The sequence below is a fragment of the Homo sapiens genome, chromosome 7 (assembly GCF_000001405.40).
Source record: "Homo sapiens chromosome 7, GRCh38.p14 Primary Assembly".
NCBI classification, from domain to species: Eukaryota; Metazoa; Chordata; class Mammalia; order Primates; family Hominidae; genus Homo; species Homo sapiens.
In genome coordinates this window covers 34025478-34044706 of record NC_000007.14, presented here as the reverse complement: position 1 = coordinate 34044706, position 19229 = coordinate 34025478, and the positions used below count along the sequence as shown (strand labels likewise).

Here is a 19229-nt window from a genome sequence, read left to right as displayed (position 1 = left end):
TGTTTTTACATTATTTCCGAATCAACAAGAATCACTAAAAATCTCCCCAGAATCCCAGGCTGCTCTGAGATTCCTCACTCAACCCTGCATAATATTAAAGTTAGAGGCCTTTCATCAGACTTCAGGGGCATGTAACCTGAATCGTGGCCAGGCCCTGGGGTCAGCCCCAGCTTAGACATGAAGCACAAGAGGGAGGACCCAAGATGCTGCCCTTAGCTTTTAATTTCAAAGAAATTCATCTGCAAGCAACTTCCTAAAATCCTGAAGCCTCGGGCCACACAAGGTTGCCTATGTACTGGCCTCTTGTAGGTGCACAGAGAATACATTCTTTTCATTCATATTCTCTGTTCTTGTTGGATCAGCATCTATTTTTCAAGCATATTTTAAAATTGAAATTTAAAAAATATTGCACAATTGCAAAAGAGTAACTCATCCAGTGCTTTGGAAAGCTGGCAAAAGATTATGTGTACTGAAGTAATTTTCCTTACAATAAGGACAAAGAGCAAATTTTGCATACATAATACAACTGCAGTTTGTGCTTCCCAAGAGTCCGTTAAAGTAACTTGAACTCCAATCTGGGTTTGCTGGTTTAGTCAAGTTTTATTTTGTTTGGTTTGCAGTATTGTGGCAAAGCCCAAGTCCAGAGGCTGCATTCCAATTAATGCCTCCAAAGAAAGTCCAGGCCCTTCCTAGGAACACAGTTGCAGCTCACAACCTGCTTCTAAGATTTCAACTCAGCAGGGACTCTGATTAAACTATAATCTGTGGCTATGCTATAGGCTAAGAGAGTAAAATCACAGAAGTAAACATTTCTGTTTCTAAAACTGAACAAATTCCTACTGTAAATGTACTATCAGATGATCGCAGTAGCTTTCTGATTGGCTTCTCTGCCTCAACTCTCTTTCACTAATCCATCCTGGAAGGTTCAATGTGACCAGGCCTTCTTTCCAGCATCTATCCATCATTCCATTATTTTATTAAACATTTGTTTAAGGCCTATCATATCCTGGGGATACAGCAGTGAATATAAGACAAAAATCATCCCCTTTAAGGAGTGTATATGACCCATGAGCATGCCCCACCCCTGCTAAGGTTGAGGATGACCTGCCACTTCATCCAGGATAAAGTTCAACCCACTCGAGCTAAAAGCCAATATAATAGAGACCATGTGTTCACCAAAATCGGTTGCCTTTTTCTTTTGACAGTGCTATGCTACACTTCCCAGACTCTCTTGCAGTGAGATGTGCCCATATGACTGAATGCTAGCCAATGGGAAATGGATGGAAATAATACAAAACACTTATAGGTCTACATCAATTCTCCATGCTCTCACTTTTCTCTCTACTAGACAGATGGCCAGCTAAATGCAGAAGGCATCATGAACTTTACAAACAATTGAAAGAGTCTGGTTCCCTGGGTTACCACATGGAAGTCTACCTGCCAGATCCCTGCAATGAACTGTGAAACAAGCAAGAAATACATTTTGTTACATTATTCAGATGCATCGGTTCTTTATTATCTCATTAGCCTACTTTGTCAAAACATTCCATAATCTCTTCTCCAATCTTCTTTTCTCCCAACTCCAGCATAAAGAGAGAGTTTATGGCCCCCAAACATAAATTATGGTTTCCATCTTCGTTAAATATACCTCTTTCCAATCTCTCACAACCCCACCCCCATCATTAACCCCTATCAAAATCCTGCTTCATTCAAGGTCAATTTCAAGCCCCTTCTCACCTGTGAAGTCTTCTAGAGCCTTCAGTTCCTAGTAACCTCCTCCATCTTTCTATGTCTCTGTTGCCATCTATACCCCTGTATTTGGGGCACACAAATACATAATTTTTGGCACATACATAAAGGCTCAATCCTGTAAGGAGACATTGACTTTACTTCCAAGCTAAACTGTCTTGGGGGTAGGGGCCAGTCCTCTGTGCCTTCTATCCTTCAGAAGAGCAATGAAACAAAACCTCAATAAAAAATTAGTGAATGAAAGGCAGAGCTACCACACAGAATGAGCTCTAGAATCTGAATGAGTATTTCAGACCACTTTAACTACAGGATGCTGATGACAACTAAGTCCAGGCATAGTTCTGGGCTGTCTCATCCACTTACCGTTGCGTTTTATTGGGTTTTACACATTCTAGCCTTGTGTTTTGCACATTTTAGGTACTGTTTGTTGGTGTTAATACATCAAAAAGGAAAATTCAATTTCAGCATGTAAAGCTGGTAGGATGCCTATAAGCACAGTTGAAAACTATGTCTCATGTATTTGTTAAATGTTTGAAAATTCCTAAGTGGTTAAAATACATAAGGACAAATGACTGTATTCTTATCTGGTCAGCAAGAAAAGAAATGCTAGGAACTTTCATTGTACTTGTGTGTCATAATTTTCATCATCTGCCTTTCCTTAGAAAGGTAAGTTTATTCTTTAGAGAGATGGTCATTTGTTCAAATTGCATATCCAAGTGCTTCTCTCAAAAATTAGCTATTTTTTAAAAAGAAAGATCTGAAACCTATGCCAAGTCTATTTCCGCTCCTTTATTTTTGTTTTAGATGATTCCATTAAGAACACAATTGCTTTATGTAAAAGTTTACCTAGAGCAGCAGGTTTGTGGCATAATAAAAACCTATCTTCCTGAATATAGTGATGGGTTCAAGACGATAAAACAACAGCCATGTGCATACACGATGCTTCTCCAACAGCTGAGTGCCCAGTGAGACTTGGGGGCTGAAAACCACCTTGTAGCGTGTGATGTGGCACTCATCTCCCAAACAGGAGCAGAGCTTGGCTCCCTAACAAGAGGCTGGGAGCAGAGTAGTGCAGTGCTAACCCGTTACAATGACTCAGCTACACTCTTCCACATTCTAGAGCAATTTTTCCTATGCCAAATTCTTTGGGGAAAAAAATAGAGTTCTCTATTTTTTTCTCTAGAGTTGCTTCTGAGATGGAAGTGGGAAGAAAAGAGAGAGAAGTTGGAGGGGGCAGTGTAGGGGAGAAATACGTCTTTAGTGCAAAGGATTTAAGTGTGGTCCATAATCTTACATCACATCAGCCTGTAATGAAAAGTTGATATGTGAGCAAAGCAACCAGTCTGAATTACAAATTGGGTCAAAAAGCTTCACCAAAAACCATGAATGTCCTTAGCCATGCCTTACTTTGGCCTAGAACTGTATCTTGCTAAGTTTACAGAGCATGACACTTAACTTCCTGGAGTAAAGATTTTCAGATTTGGTTTTCCCTGTTTTTGGTCTGCAAAGAATAGTCTAATCTACAAATCAAAGCAGAAGAGTGACAGCAGATGAGGTGGCAGACTGAGGGGACAGTAGCAGAGTAGACAAGGGGAGACAGGACACCTCCAATAGGTAGTGAGTGACAAGCCTGGGTTGTGCCAGGTACTGTGCTTAGGTACTTTTATCATTTTACGTAAGTCTCCAGAAGACCCTGTGGGCATGCTTTTGTCACCCCTACAGCAGAGAATGAGCCTCTAAGCCTTAAAGAAATTGCTCAGAAAATCTGCCACCCAACAAGTAAGTGGCAGGGTTGAAATGTAAATTTAGTTCTAACATCCAAGCTGAGTTATTTCCATCTAATAGGGCCTTTCCTTCCAAAGACCACAGCACAATTTCTCAGCTGGAGTGTGAAGTATAATCAAAGCGATGGCCAGAACTTTCTCTCCTTCTAGACGTCTCTTGTGTCTTCCCTGGTAGATGCTGGTTGTAGCTTTATGTCTGCTTTTTATCAAAATGGCTTAGATAAAATATATTGCCCACATTTTTGTTACTTACTTAGATAAAATCCAAATTATGCATCACCTTTTGCCTCCAGGGCTTTTTCCTTTCATGTTGTCTTCTCCTCCCACCTCCCTTCTTTCCTTCTCTCCCTCTTTTACATTTTAAACAAGATGCCCCTAATATGGAAATCTGAAAGTTTGGGACTTCTCTCTTTCTGCTCTTAGGAAGAAGATAAAGTGTTCACCATCCCCATAGCTAATTTATAATCCACTAACACAGGACCTTTACTCACCTCTTCCACTCAGTTGAAAGAACATGCTTTTGAATCTACAAATAATAATGGGCCATTTCCATGCTTTAAAACTTTTAGTGGCTCCTCATTCTATTCAGGGTGCTCAATCTAGGCAGTGGGTCAGAATCACCCACAGGACTCTTGTAAAAAAAAAAAATTATTGACAGCTTCATGTCCAAGATTCTAATGCAGAACCCAGGCAACTGTATTTTATTAAAGCTGCAACTATGTCTCAGTCGTCACTAAGCTATTGTCTCTGGACTCCAAACCCACACAACCTAATTCGCACTTTGCTTTCTGGTGTTGAAGCTGAGGCTCTGCATGCCACATTTCTGCTTTGCTAGCTTAGTCCAAGATAGGCTCTGCCTATAGGGGCACCAGATAAGGGACTGGTTCCTTCTGTTTGTTTCCCTTGGCCTCCTGTCCCCATTAATGCTTCTTCACCAGGCAGCAGCACTTCCTTCCCACATCAGCAACTGAACCCAGTTTAGAGATTTTCCAACATTTCATGCAAGTAAAACCAGCTTCATCTCAACATTCTACTCCAGCCAGCTGGCACTCCCTCCTCAGAAGTCTGAATTTCAGCTCCACATAGCCCCTCCTCTAAGTTTTAATAATTCTACTCTCATCCCATTGTTCCCCGACCCTAGAGGTGGTGGTATCATCTAGTAGGTGGCATTGTCACAATAACTTAGAATTCTCTTTTTGCCATTCAGTTACCTAGTTAATAGTTCTTTATATTTAATCCTCTATTTTCAAATAACTGGTATGGTTTATGCCTCCTGATGAGACCTTGACTGATACAAGATGTGTTCCTGATGAGCTGCCAAGTGTGGGAACTCAGCTTTCAGCCCACCCTAGATTTCTCAGACAGAGCTAGAGGGCAGTGCACTTACTGCCCCAGAGCATATAATACTTTAAAAACATTAACAGAGGTGTTTATATAGATATACACACATATATACATATACATATACATACACATATACACACACTATAGTAGGATACATCTGGGCATGTATACACCACAGTGGTATAAGTGTGTGTGTGTGTGTGTGTGTGTGTGTGTGTGTGTGTGTATTTGTGTGTCTTACCCACTAGATTAGAGTTCCTCAACCTTCACACTCCTGACATTTGGGGTCAGGTGATTATTTGCTTTGGAGGCTGTTCTATGCACTGTAGGATGTACAGCAGCATCCCTGGCCTCTACCTGCTAGATGGCAGTGGCACCCTTCATTCTCTGATTGTGACAATGAAGCATGTCTCCAGACATTGCCAAATGTCCCCTGGGAAACAAAATCACCTCCAGTTGAGAACTAGAGTACTAGGCCAATGATTCCTCAAACCACAGTCCAGGAATGCGCATTTTTAATAACTTTCCTGGATGAATTAAATGCCTCTGTCCAAGGCACTGTGCTTTGCCAAATGCTTCACTGGCATGAGCTTCCAGTAAGTAAGACTTAAAGCTTATTTATCTTATTCATTCCCCCAGCAGCTAGCACACATCATAGCTTCTAACATGTGCTCAAGACAAGTGTTCTGAAGGATGAAGCCCATTTTTCAAGTGGAACAGTTCTCAGTGAGAGAAGAACAGGCCTCAATTCACTTCCCTGGTGGCTGGAAGCCACTTTTCTTCAGGCTTGTGAAGGAAGAGGTCAGCGAGAAACAGTGCGGGTGGAGACAGAGCTGTGATCAGAGCTGACAGGGTAGAACTGTGCTTCTCCAAGGAGTCTGTGCTGAAACCAATGCAGGCTTTATCATAAAAATTTGTGAGGATCTTGGAAGCTTTCTGACCCCCAAAACCTGGACATATGGCTACATATGAGTTTTGGTATCCAAGTGATGAAATAAAACTCAACTCTGATTCTATACATAGATATTCAAGAACATGTCAGCAAAGCTCGATGAAGACACTGATTTTATCCCATAAAAATAGCAAACAAAGACCCCTGAGAAAGGGTCTATGGGGCTGACAAAAACAAAAACCCTTTTGTACTTCACGACCTATTAAGAGAACTATGAACTAATGCCCTGTCTTGAGAACCAAGCCTGAAACAAATTCCTTTTATTTTGCATGCCAATTAATGTTTCTAAGTATAACTGCATTATTGTTATTATTGTTTATATTATTTTATTAAGTTTTCTATTGCTGCTATGATAAGTTACAAATGGAGTGTCTTAAAACAACACACACTTATTTTCTTACAGTCAGAAGTCTGGAATCAGTTTCATGGGGCTAAAATCCAGGTATCAGCAGGCTGCATTCCTTCTGGAGGCTCTAGAGAAGAATCTGTTTCCTTGCCTTCTCCAGCTTCCAGAGGCAGCCTGCCTTCCATGGCTGATGGCCCCCTCCTCCATCTTCAAAGCTATCAGTGCAGCACCTTCAGACCTCCCTCTGACTGTGCTCTCTGCTCATCATCACATCTCCTCCGACTCTGACCCTCCTGCTTCCCTTTTATAAGTACTATTGTAAGTGGGCAGCCCACCCAAAGAATCCAGGGTCACCTCTCCATCGCAAGGTCCTTAACTTAATCCTATCTGCAAAGTCTCTTGTGCCATGTAAGGTCACCTTCACAGGTTTTGGAGATTAGGACATGGACATCTTGGGGCCAGGGGATGCATTATTCTGCCTACCCTAATTATTATTAAATAAATGACATTTAATTTCTCTGTGTAGTCCCAAATGTCATATTTCAGGCCTAATGTGACTACAACACACCTCACCAAAAAAGCTAGTGTTTCTAATGCTTTCCTAAGGAAAAGATAGCCAAGAAGCTCGATTTAAATCCTGGTCTTATGGCTTGCGATCTGAGTAAGTTCACATCCACTTATTTTTTCTTCTTCCTGCACCCATGTCTAGTTAGAAGGTGAAATTCAAACCAGACAATCCAATGTTTTCGTCTTATTCGCCCTCTCCTTTTGTCATAGGCAAATTATAAGCGCTGATGGACAGCTTCAGGAGCAACTTTCGGTGTTAATGAAGTAAGAAAACTGTCTTTGTTGCCAACAGGTCTTTTCAGGGGCGCTATGCCAGTCTTGCTGGCCAGCACCAACCCCTTAAGTTGAAGTTCCCACTAAGCTGTGGGACTTGGCCAGGCACCCTCTGGCCCAGGCTACAGAGCCCTGCAGGGACATCAATGTCCTCTCATGGTCAGCTAGATGACTCCCAAAGAGTTTAACCATGTTTGCTATATTTCAAGATTCTTACAGAAAAATGCCTCAACCGGTCTCGGTGGAGGGGTTACAGAGCAGGCACTGTGAGGCCTCAGCCTGTGAATAGCACAGCTAGATGCCTTCTTTCTACAGCTGCACAAGTGAGCAGGTCCAGCCTGGCTATAGAGACAGTGTTAAACTTCAACTGCATACAGCGGCAGAGCCAAAGATCATAATTTCATAAAGCAAATATTAGATTATTAAATAAATACATGATGGAAATGTCTTTACCATAGTTCCACTAATCCCTTTTTTGTTTGTTTGTTTTTAAGAGACAACTTGTCTCTCTCACCCAGGCTAGAGTGCAGTGGCGCAATAATAGTTCACTGTGACCTCAAACTCTCAGCCTCAAGCAATCTTCGTGCCTCAGCCTCCCAAAGCACAATTACAGGTGTGAGCCCCACTGCCCAGCCACTAAACTCCATTTGAAAAGGGGATTTGGTTATTGTGTTTGCTTAAGTCTCATTTTTAAAGGTAAAATTGGCCTCATCTTCCCCTTGGAGTCCTTGATCTTAGCTCTTCCTGCCACTTAGCTGAATGGCAGTTTTCCTTGTTTGTTTGTTCATGTGTTTGTTTTCTTTTACGTTTTTTCTTTGAAAAAGAAAGAAATTCTTCTCCTTCCACCAACTCAGGCTTTCCACTCAGGCAGACACACAAATCACTGATGAAAGACTGCGATATTGTTTGAGGCAAATTCCAACTGGTTCTGGGTGTCCACAGCTATTTTACTTTCCTCTTTGTCTATTTTAGAATGAGGAAGATAAGCCCACCCTATAGGCCCAAGCTCAGATGAGATCTCTAAACAAATGCCCTGGGAACCGAGAGGAGAGGCAAAGCTCTGGAAGTCTGAGTAGATTTGCACCCCTAGATTGTGTGGTGTGTGGAAGCAGGTGCTGAATGATAGCTGGACTCAGTGATCTGCCCCCAGCAAGGTCTTTCCCCTTCCAGGGCTAACTGAGCTGAAACTGGAGGAGAGGCGGGGCCTGCTGATAAGGGCCCTGACAGCCAGCTCCTGCCATGCCTCTGAGCCTGGGTGTTCCCTCTCTGAAACGATCAATAAATAAACAAGTAAATCCACAGGAGAACACCTCCTAATATTTCAGATTCCTGGAGACCTTGCAGACCACCCTGGTAGGATGTTTCTCAACTGCTGCCCAGAAACAAACAAACAAAAAAAAGTGAAAGGAAGAAAATGAGCCCTTTTCCTTTTCTTGCCATTTTTATCAAAGTTCAAACTTTCATCATCACGGAAGTAGTCAAAGCTGTTACAAGCCTACTGCTGACACATCAAACGCTTTATCTACAGCCTGGCCCGCTTCCAGGCAGATGAAAAGAACAATCATTTAGAACTCACACCTCCTATGAGTTATGAGCCATTCCTAAAAGGAAGGAAATAACACCATTATGCAGGAGAAAGGGCATTTTTTCATGTTCCCCAGGCTATCTACATCACAACAACATTGGATAGGCACTAAGAAGAAAGCCGAACGGAGGCCTTTGACTGCTCAAGACTTCTACAAATACGGAACTGCAGAGACAGAAACCCAAGACATCACCAATGAACTGTTTTCCTAAAACTTTCTGTTGACCTTTAAGTTCTGGCTACCTAAAATAGTTTATATTGTTTTATTTTGTTCCCACAATGCTTCATATGGGTTTATCGTTTGTCCCAAAGTAGGTTGAAGGTTCACAGAGGGCAGAAGCCATATTCATTAATATTTCTTCTGTCTTCCACAGTGCCTAGCCACACAGTGAGGCCAGAGTAACATCAGAAGTGTTTGGTTTTCAGTTAAACACCTTCTTGTTGGGTTGTCAGTTAAAGCTGAAAATAACTCAAAAATGTTTGTGCTCCATTGAGGTTTCTTGAGGTACAAAAAATATCTGTTATCTTGACATGAATGACTCTTAATTAAGATATACCTGAATCTCTCTCACTGTATTGACAAAATTATACTTAGAAGTCTTTGAGGTTTTCCTTAGTATGCCTGAGCACACTACGGAAAAATAAGATTACATTTAAACTTCATTTTCATTTCTAAATAGCAATTGAAGTCACGGCATCCTTTTTGTTCACCCTTTCAATATACATTTGAGTTTCTGTATGTCAGACACTATGGTCTTTAAATGAAATAAATCCAAAATATCTATTTGGTATCCATTGTTATGTGCAGTTCTCTAATTTGTATCAGGTGGCAATTTCCTAAAATTTTAACAAAATCTAAAATGTTGTAAGTACAATGTCATGAAGTTCTATAGTAAACACTCCGTGGCCTCCATCAAGGAACACTGCGCAGAGAGACTAGAGGTTTCCGGCACTATTCATTCAAACTCATGATGCTCCTGGGTATTGGTCTTGTCAAACAATTTTAAGTTTGTGTTTTGAGACAGGCTGCAACCCAATCTTGGCAAGCTCTTGGGACTATCCTAATCTAGGCCATATATGATCAAAGAAAAACAAGTGTACAGTCTGTTGGCACCAGCTGTGGTGGGGGGTCCCAGCATGAGCCAAAGCTAGTGTTCTGACATGTCTGGGCAGGTCCAGTGAAAGGGAGAGGTTCACTCATCGGCTTCTCCTGAGAGAAAATCCACCCTGAGGGAGGAAGAGATGAACAACAAGAGAATCACCTACTGACTGAGCCTGACAGAAGGAACATGCTATCACCAACATAACTTGGCATCTGTCACTCACATCATCCCAAGTTCAGTACCACAGATGCCTGTATTCTCCTAGAGGAGAAAGAATACTGAAAGTAAAAGCACAAAAGAATTGTTTAACTAAAATCTTTGTGAGATTCAAGTATAGGCCCTACTGATTTAGGTGTCCTATAATTGAGTAGAACACAGAAAAAGGAAAGTGATATTGGCCCTTGCCACTTCAGTGGAGACTTCCATACTGCTTTGTCATCTGAGGCCTCCAGGACACTAGCTGAAATGTGCAAAGATGGTGGAAGTAGTGGCTGTGCCAGGCTGAGAACCAAAGTGCTTGGAAAAATGGTGGCAACATCAAACAGAGGGCACAACAGCAGACAGACATGGCAGAAGAGGGAATCTTTTCCGGCTCAGGAAAGTGGTATTTCCTCTATCATGAACTCCGACTTTCTAGGAAGGCTCTCCATCTTCCTACTGAAAGATGATCTATGTCAGCAATGCTCAGCATTTGGCAGTATAGCACAAATCCACAAGGCATATTCTCTGACAAATTGATTCATGTATTGGCCAAGCAGAAAGAAGAAGTGTTTGGCCAATAAGTTATATTAAATTGAAGTTCTCCTGGAATAATATTAGGCCAGGTTCAGAAGCATTGTCTTGTAATCTTGGCCAGAACATGCTGAGACGCCAGAAGGGAGTAGCACCTCAGTGAGGCCATGGCTGGATGGAAAGCTTATGATCATGGGTGAGGTCTGAGTGGACCACAGCTCCGTAACTGTGACAACATGCTTAACTCCAAAGGTCTTTCTCAAGAAGGATGGAGAAACACAAGTCTAAACCAGTTAAATAGAAGAAAATTCTACCTGAACATTCTTAGTTAGTACCTTATTTCAGATAATGATACAGAAAACGACAGCAGTTCAGGACTTTTTCTTTTTAAGACCATAACTAGAAGGATAGAAGTTTAAGGGCTTACCAGAAGTACCCTAAATATTGCACTAAAAACCACAGACAATCCTGTGAAGATAACGGAAGACAAGTGGAGGGCCACCTTTGACTAGAAATCCAGGAATGCCCAATCTACTTAAAAGAGATGTCAAGGCTTCTGTGGTCAATGCCCAAGGGCAAGTCCCTCAGAAAATGCCCAGGGCTCTCTTCAAAGACCAGTATTGAAGGGGAATATTCTTGGGGCAAATGTCCAGAATTAAGGGACATAGAAGTTCAGAAAGATCATCATTTTATTCTACCAGCCTAACTTAAAGTTGATGGTAGTGTCTTAAAAACAGGCAGATTAAGTGAAAGCTTACATACTGAAGGCTGAACACTTAGCTTTTTTTTTAACCAGGAAATCCAGAAAATCACTTCTTAAGGTGGTCTATATTGTTTATAAAGAGCCTCATCCATTGGTACTACATGTGGTTGCCAAGTTCAGAGAACTGATATAAACAAATAACTCAATGTGCATAATCAACTCATGATCAGAACATTGCTAGCTCCGAGTGGCTGAACATATTTTTGATGTGAAGAATGTCCTGCACATTCCCAAGTCTGTGAATTATAGATATTGTCCTTTCAGTGAGGTATTTCTCTTAATATTTAGATGGTACATTAAATGTTTTTTGTTATAAGTAGCTACCTGATAAGTGTTTATGGACTCTGTGAATGAAACTCTAAGACAAAAGGTCTCCATCCTCCTTCCAAAAATTCTTGAGGTAGAAAATAGCTCCCATTTATATTATATACTTTGCCTAAAATGCATTGTGTGGACTTCCATATACAATGACCATTTAGTGTTTTTGTTTTAGGAAAGTGTTTCCAGTGGTCTAGGACAAAAAGTATGATCTACTGAGCCTTTGACCTGGTTTGGCCTGTTGCAGCCTTGAGGATTAATTCTTGTTCCCTCTTTCTCAAATCCTCTCAGCCTCTAACTGTGAAATGAAAAGTGGCCCACTCTCTAGAATCAGTCCTGCTGGAAAATGGTTGTTCTCACTCCAACACTAATAAAACATGCCATGGTAGGGAAACGGGAAACCACTAGAGCAAAGTGTTCAACATTAATATTTCTTGGAGGGTCTGATGAATTTTACTTTAAAAAGCAGAAGCATTCTTAAAACTTGAGAATGAAAGGAGCAGTGTTTGAAACAAAATTGTTCATGGTAAAAATATTAAAGGATTCTCTTCTCAAACATTCCGAACTCCAAAGGGTACACAGTTACCCATGTAGCCCAATAGTATAAGCAAAAAGCTACGAATCTGTGTAAAGAGGACATTTCTTTCATCCAATACTTAATATGTGAGGTGTCTGCATCAAAATACTCTTGAAGACTCCAAATCTTCTCTATCATTCGATTTGTAGAAATAACAATATCCATGCATGCGGAACTTATACCATACTCCAGATAATGGGTGATGAATCAAAACTTTGAGGAAAAATAATGACTTTAAAATGTTATGGAAACCCTACTTCCTGATGACACGAGAAGATCTATGGCTTAAACTCAATACAAACCAGGAAATCGTTCCAGATTCTAAATCAAGGAGGAAAGCTGGAAGTACATATGGTTAAGGGAACAAACTCATGGGGTTAAGAGCTCCTTCAGATTCCCAGTTCTATTCCTTGCTGTATTGCACCAAAGTTAATTAACTTCTCCTAAGCTTCAATTTTTTCATTTGTAAATTGGGAAGAACAATAGTATTCAGTCTCATAGAGTTCATGAAAAGAACAGAACAACTGAGGTAAAGCTTTTAATTCAGTATCTGGCACATAGTAAATGCTCAATAAATGTTAACTATTTTATATATATATATATACACACACACACACATATATATTTATATATAAGATATATTTATATATATGTGTGTGTGTATATATATGTGTGTGTGTGTGTGTATATATATATATATATATATATATATATATATATATATATATATGGTCAAATTAATTTTAAATGCCATGCAGCTCCATAAAATAATAAATGAGTTACCTTGGGGAGTTTATTTAATTGGAGTCTTGGTTATTTTATCTCTAAACAATGCTATTTTCCTCGCAAAGCTGTTGTGAAAATTATATGCAACAATGTGCTTAAAGTGCCCAGCACAGTGCTTGCTCTATAAGTGTTATCAATTAAAAATGAACCTCTGGCACCCTCTTCCCCACCTCACTGTCCTTGGGTTTAGCCAGTCAAAGTATATTTCACTGGCCAAGAGAACGGGGCTATGAAAGGTACAGAGCTGTGGTGACTTTTCCTCTGAAAAGTTAGGAGAACATTTGTGTTTTCCTTGGCACCAAGAACACATGGGTAGTCTTTGGGGTGTACAGTAGTGTATACATCACCCATGTATTTGCATAAAGTTTCAAAGCACTTTCTTGATATATGCAGTATGACAGCTGCTGTCACAATATATTTATATAAGTTCAACACAGATTTTATAAAATAATCTTGCAAGTCTTTGTTTTCCTAAGGAGGGGTTTGTTTGGAGGCTGGGGGATAATCATTTCATCTCACTGTGAAAAACAGCACATGCTGACACACATCCTTTACCAATGACACAAACAGATTGGTGTTCCCTATTAACGTGTGAGGCAACCCCGCAGTTATAGTAGGCCACTATTACCATTTTTAAAATGTCTTTTCTGAAAGAAAAAAAACAGCACTGATGGATGCAGTAACCACAATCCATCTGAGGTCTAGAAGGAAGGATGAAATAGATAACTGTGACTTTTGCACACAGAATTCTTCCAGCTAATTGTCGTATTCCCAGCCTGGCTGTCCTTTTGTCCACATGAAGGACTTGACCTAACGTGAAAGACAATGAGAATTCCTTGACACCTGCCAACATTCACCTCAGTCTTCCTCAGAGACACAAGTAGCTCAGATTAGCCAAATCTTTCCATCAAAAAAATCAATGTATAGGGAGGCACAGTGTCTCAGGCCTGTAATCCCAGCACTTTGGGAGGCCAAGGTAGAAGGATCATTTGAGACCAGGAGTTTGATACCAGCTGGGCAACATAGCGAGACCCTGTCTCTACAACAAATAAAAAATTAGACAAGCATGGTGGCAGTGCCTGTAGCCTCAGGTGGGAGGATCACTTGAGCTCAGGAGTCCAGGTTATATAGTGAGCTATGATTGCACCACTGCACTCCAGCTGGGGCAACAGAGAAGACCCCATCTCGAAAAAAAAAAAATCAATGTAATTTCTATCAATAATCTCCTGCAGCATCTTCTAAACTAGTACTTCAGAGAACCCTGTTTCATAAGATGTTAACGGTGGTTCCATGACACAAGACTTCTACAAAGAAATGAGTAATGTTGGGTTAAACAAAGTTAAATAGGTTCCTTCATTGACGGCTTTTTAAAATCTTTTAACAAATATGGATATTCCATTGGGGAAATACAGGATATGGTGTTTCTCAAACTTATTTGACCATAGAACCCTTTTGCCATGGCACTTGAACATATTCTGGTGTGATATAAAGGGAAACACAATTTGGAAAATGCTGATCAACTTCAATTTTACTACTATAGGTCTTTCCTAAGGTTCTATAGCTGTATGTTTCTTCCTCCTTGAGGCAAATTTCTTGCTGACAATTATTAGTTAAACAAGTCTATATATTGAGTAATCGATCGTATGCCCCAAAACCTTTGTCTTCCCACCTATATATATATGATATCAAATAATATGGTCTTCAAATTCCATTTAAGATTATATTTTTATGAATTCCAAAAACCACTCTTGTTAATACAAGCTACATCAAGATTCCTGCTCAGAATTGAATTGAATTTTTGGAACTTTTATTCATTTAACTATAGAAAAAAGAAAAGAATTCTAGGTTTCAACATGACCCTTTTCCAATTCTATAAACCAGGTCACCCTACCAATGTCTGGCATTTCTGGAATATTTATAAATAACCATAGTATAAAAACTCTACCTCCCACATCCTCTGAAAACATAGCTGGCTACAAATTCCCCAGGAATATTATGTGGGACATGTGGTTTCCATGCCTTTAAAAGGGGTATTTGTAGGCTATCCTGAGGAATATTTCAGCCAGGTCTTTCTCCTGTCTTTTTCAGCCTAGCAAACTTTGCCCCTTAGTCCTGCTCTGGGAGGCCTTAAAAAAGTGATACATTTGAAACAAATAGATCCCTTATAGAATCCTCAGTAGGTGGCAATGGCAGAAATAAAGATCCAAAGAAAAAGCTTGTTTACCCCATGTAGGTCTCTTTAGCAGGGACCTCATAGGGCCACAAGTGAGGCTGAGACTGGGTTGGTTTGGGTCAAGGAGCTGAGTAAACAAGGAAAACAGTAAAGCAGGAGCTTTGGGATTAGACAAGGACAACAAGCTGGGAGCAGCAAGAGCTAGCTCCCTTCCTTTTGCCTCTCCTCCATGTGGGCCATGCTCTTCTGATGAGGCAGGGGTGGAGATTGCTGAATTGCATGAATTTCACTCCCATCTCTAGCCTGGTCCCCCAACGCTGAAATTAAAATAATATCAACAAAACACATTAATTTGAAAAAATATGAGAGGTTTGAACCAGCTTTCCCAATCATCTATTTTCATTCTCACTTTTGATCTTCAAATTTGGCACAACATGCACAAACAATTTTATATCTATAGTCAAAGACTGTGTCAATTGCTCACCACCATATCCCAGTGTCTAGCACAATGTTTCTTTCTAAGAAACAGTCACAAGTTTTTGTTGACAGACTGCAATACCATTGAGTATTCTACCTTCCCTACTTGAAATCTCAGCATGTACTTTTCATTTTTCATAATTAACATTTTATTGTCCATTTAATATTCCATGATGACAATATTCTTCATCATAAACTCATAATCACTTTTCCAAATTCTAATTCTGTCTTTAGATAAGAAAGGCTTCATGTAGAATCGTTCAGCCTAAATCATTCATGGCAATATACTAATTGCCATGTCTTCAGCTTAGCTGTCCATCTCTCCACATGGAGGAGTTGGCCAGATAGAAAAGACACTGGCAATTTGTGTTTACTCTACACAGGCTCCTCTATTCTGCTTCAGGTGAGTAGAACCCACGGTTAGTGCCTCCTCCTAGGTACACAATGTGCATATCTGGAAGCATCAAGATTGAGGACCAGCAAAGACATCTTACGGACATTTCTGGACAAATACGAAGAAACCAAAGGACAATGGTAATGCTACAAAAAAAAAAAAAAAAAAAAAAAAAAAAAAAACAGAAAAAATGATTTGGACTGTATGTAAACTAGATATGAATTCTTAGTTGATGCCATCACATATGAAAAGTATAGCTTAGACTAGTGGTTTTCAAACTTTCTAATCTCAGGATCCCTTTACTCTCTTAAAAATTATTGAACCTACCAAAGAGTTTTGGTTGACTTGAGTTATATCTTATCTACAGATTGATGTTTACTACATTAGAAATAAAACTGAGAAATTTTTAAGTGTTCCTTTTAAATAACAAAAACCCATTTCATGCTAACATAAATAACCAATTTAATGAAAAATAACTGTATTTTCCAAAACAAAAAAAATTAGTGAGAAGTATGGAATGGTTTTAAATTTTTGCAAATTTCTTTAATGTCTCACTTAATAAAAGACATTGGATTTTCCTATTTGTTTCATTCAGTTTATTGCAATATGTTGTTTTGGGTGTGGCATCAAAAGAAAACCCAACCTAAACACAGAAATGTAGTTTTAAAATAGAGGAGGGTTTTAATAGCAATTTTGTATAATTGTGGGTACTCTTCTTTGATATTATACCAATATAAAACCATATCAATGAACCATTCTCTGCTATATTAAAATGTATTGCTCTATCTTGTACTTTGAGTGGATATTCTACCCATGCATTATTTTTTGTAACAGCATGCATCAGTCATGTGGAATATATTGATTTGGGCAGATCTTCCAAATATTGGTATACTTCATTATAAAATATCAAAAATAAATCATTTTTAATAGCATCTCTTCAGATAATTATATGAGTATTACAGAGCTGTCAAGCTCACAAAGAGAGATAAAAATTTTTCAAAATTTGAATTTTCACTTGAAAGCTCAAATGTTATCACTGGCAACAAATACTGCCACTTGTTTTCCTTGAAATGACATGCTCATTTTTTAAAAAATTTTTGAGAAAATGTCTGCCAAGTACTCAATTCTTAATAACCATAATTTGTCTGTCAAATCATGCTTTCAAGTAAAAATGGAATTCCATGAAAATAGCGGTTGGGTCAGTTCACAACTCAAATAAACACATAAGTGTTTTTCCTCTAGATATTCACTGAATTTCAATATGCAATCAATTTTTTTTGCATACTTCTCATGTTTAAATGGGGTATATTCAAGAGTAACATTTAATAAACACTAATAATTTTTAGTTTCATCTAGGAGATTTTTAAGTGAAAAATGGCATTTTTCTTTCTCTTTGCTACTGAAAGTACACAGTGGTGAATAACAAATGACAACTAGTACACCTCATGTCATTGTCTTGCTCTGTGCTGACTCCAGCACTTTTACTCACCATCGGAGCAAATGTGAACATAGTCAAAAAGGCAAATAGTGTCTTTGTGTTATAATAAAAATAGTTTTTACCTTGTGAACCCCCTGGAACTGTCTTGGGGACTCCCAAGGGTCCACTGACCACACTTTGAGAACTGCTGACTTATATAAATGCTTTGACTTTTACATTCTTGAAATCTACCTCATGCAGTAATTCTCATAACCATGATAAGCAGACCAAAGTTTAGCAGCACATTTGGGTCATGCAAATGAACTCTACGGTCCCAGGGAAACACCATACATCACCACTTACATCAGCAAGCTCACTTTGCAGACTGCGATGCCATATAGGCTACAAAGCAAGGAAGAGGAAGTCAATAGCCACCCACGGAGCCAGCCAAATATGGGCCATCAAAGCCAGAAAACATGAGTTTTGTTCCAGTAAAACTGTCAAGAATCCATAATAGTCATTTACACCCATATTTTCAGGTATTCAGTAGATAGAAATAAAGCCTGTTGTGTGGGTAAAAAATGAAGTATGAGCCTAAGAGGCAAGGCTGAGAAAGAACAGATGCTTATGTCTCTGGAGTTTGCACTTTTTCTCTAAAAACACATCTGTCATCAACTTCAACTTAGAAGACCAACAAAGCACTTGTATAAATAAACACAGTGGCCATTTTCATTTTAGTAACTCTGAATTCTTGTAATCAATCTGATGGCCCTGAGAAGCCCGCTATTCCTTCCCCAGTATGCTTTAAGCAGAGCATCCTCAGAAGATGGTCATTGTTTTAAGTAACCCAGGAACTAAAAGAATCAGACCTGGTGTGCTGAAGTCAACAACATGGCTTTTCAGCTGCTTGCTTAGAGGTCTGATCTGAAGAAAACTGCATGAGAAGTTTAAATATTCCCCTCATTGCAAAACCTATTTAATCTTTGCATTAAGTTGATCCACGAAGAGGAAATAATCCAATGGAAAACCTGTGATGCATGACAATGATGATAGTTGAATGTCTCTGCTGTCCAATAAAATCATCCTTTTGCCTCATCCCCCTGACTGTCCCTAATCCTGTTCCCCACCACTGATCCAAATCCAGATCCCCAGAGCCACAACCTAAACCTAGCTTCCAGACTAATCAGGGCTAAAGAAAGAGGATCACCCAGTCTCAACCCCATTACCATCATCCCAGCTCACCAGAGGGACTGGATCCCGAATTATCCTTTTTACCATGCCAGGCCACAAAGGACTATTCTAACGTTGAACCCAAAGTAGGGAGTCCAGAATTGTGCCTGAAACTCCAAAAGAGTTCTTCAGCCTTCATCCTGACAGCTCCTGACCACAGGTATCGGCTTCCAGACCAACTCATTACCCTGACCCTGCCCTCACACACTCCCTGGAGCTGAAGCTGGACAAGTCAACTGATAGACCTGTTCCAGCTTCTGAATAAATGCAAAAAACGAACAGGCAGTTTAAAAATATCCTGGGGCTCTATATCCAGCGCTTGTCCTTTTAGGAATGCAGCACAAGAACACACTCCAGGCTCCCCTGCTATTCCACAAATCTGGTTCATAAGCAAACATGCCTGAGACCTGCAATGAGTACTAAGTGCTAATTGAGTCTCCCGATCTCTTCTCACCCACACTGGCTCATGCTTTCAGGCTGGATTTCTGCCTCAGTCACTCCTTTAGTCATTGAATACTTAATTGCCTAGCATCCGAGACCTACAACCACTGCTCTCTTTGCCCCTAAATCACAGACTAAAGGGTAGATCCTCCTTCTTGCAGCTAGAACTTCCTAAAGAGGATCTGACACTTGCCTTGCTGGATGTGTGAATACCATGC

The 19229-nt window shown here is 39.8% G+C and overlaps 1 protein-coding gene across 4 annotated transcripts in view, besides 1 other annotated feature; it reads right to left on the bottom strand.

Annotated features, from left to right (window-relative positions):
• Positions 1–19229, bottom strand: part of BMPER (BMP binding endothelial regulator) — a 251513-nt gene that overhangs the window by 111721 nt on the left and 120563 nt on the right. The window lies entirely within an intron of this gene.
• Positions 9109–10308: an enhancer, noted in NCBI's record as "MED14-independent group 3 enhancer chr7:34074011-34075210 (GRCh37/hg19 assembly coordinates)". NCBI's record gives its function as "activates an origin of replication core promoter dependent on BRD2, BRD4, P300/CBP and CDK7 cofactors, and independent of MED14, by STARR-seq in HCT116 cells {active_cell/tissue: HCT116}" and the evidence as "EXISTENCE:reporter gene assay evidence [ECO:0000049][PMID:35650434]".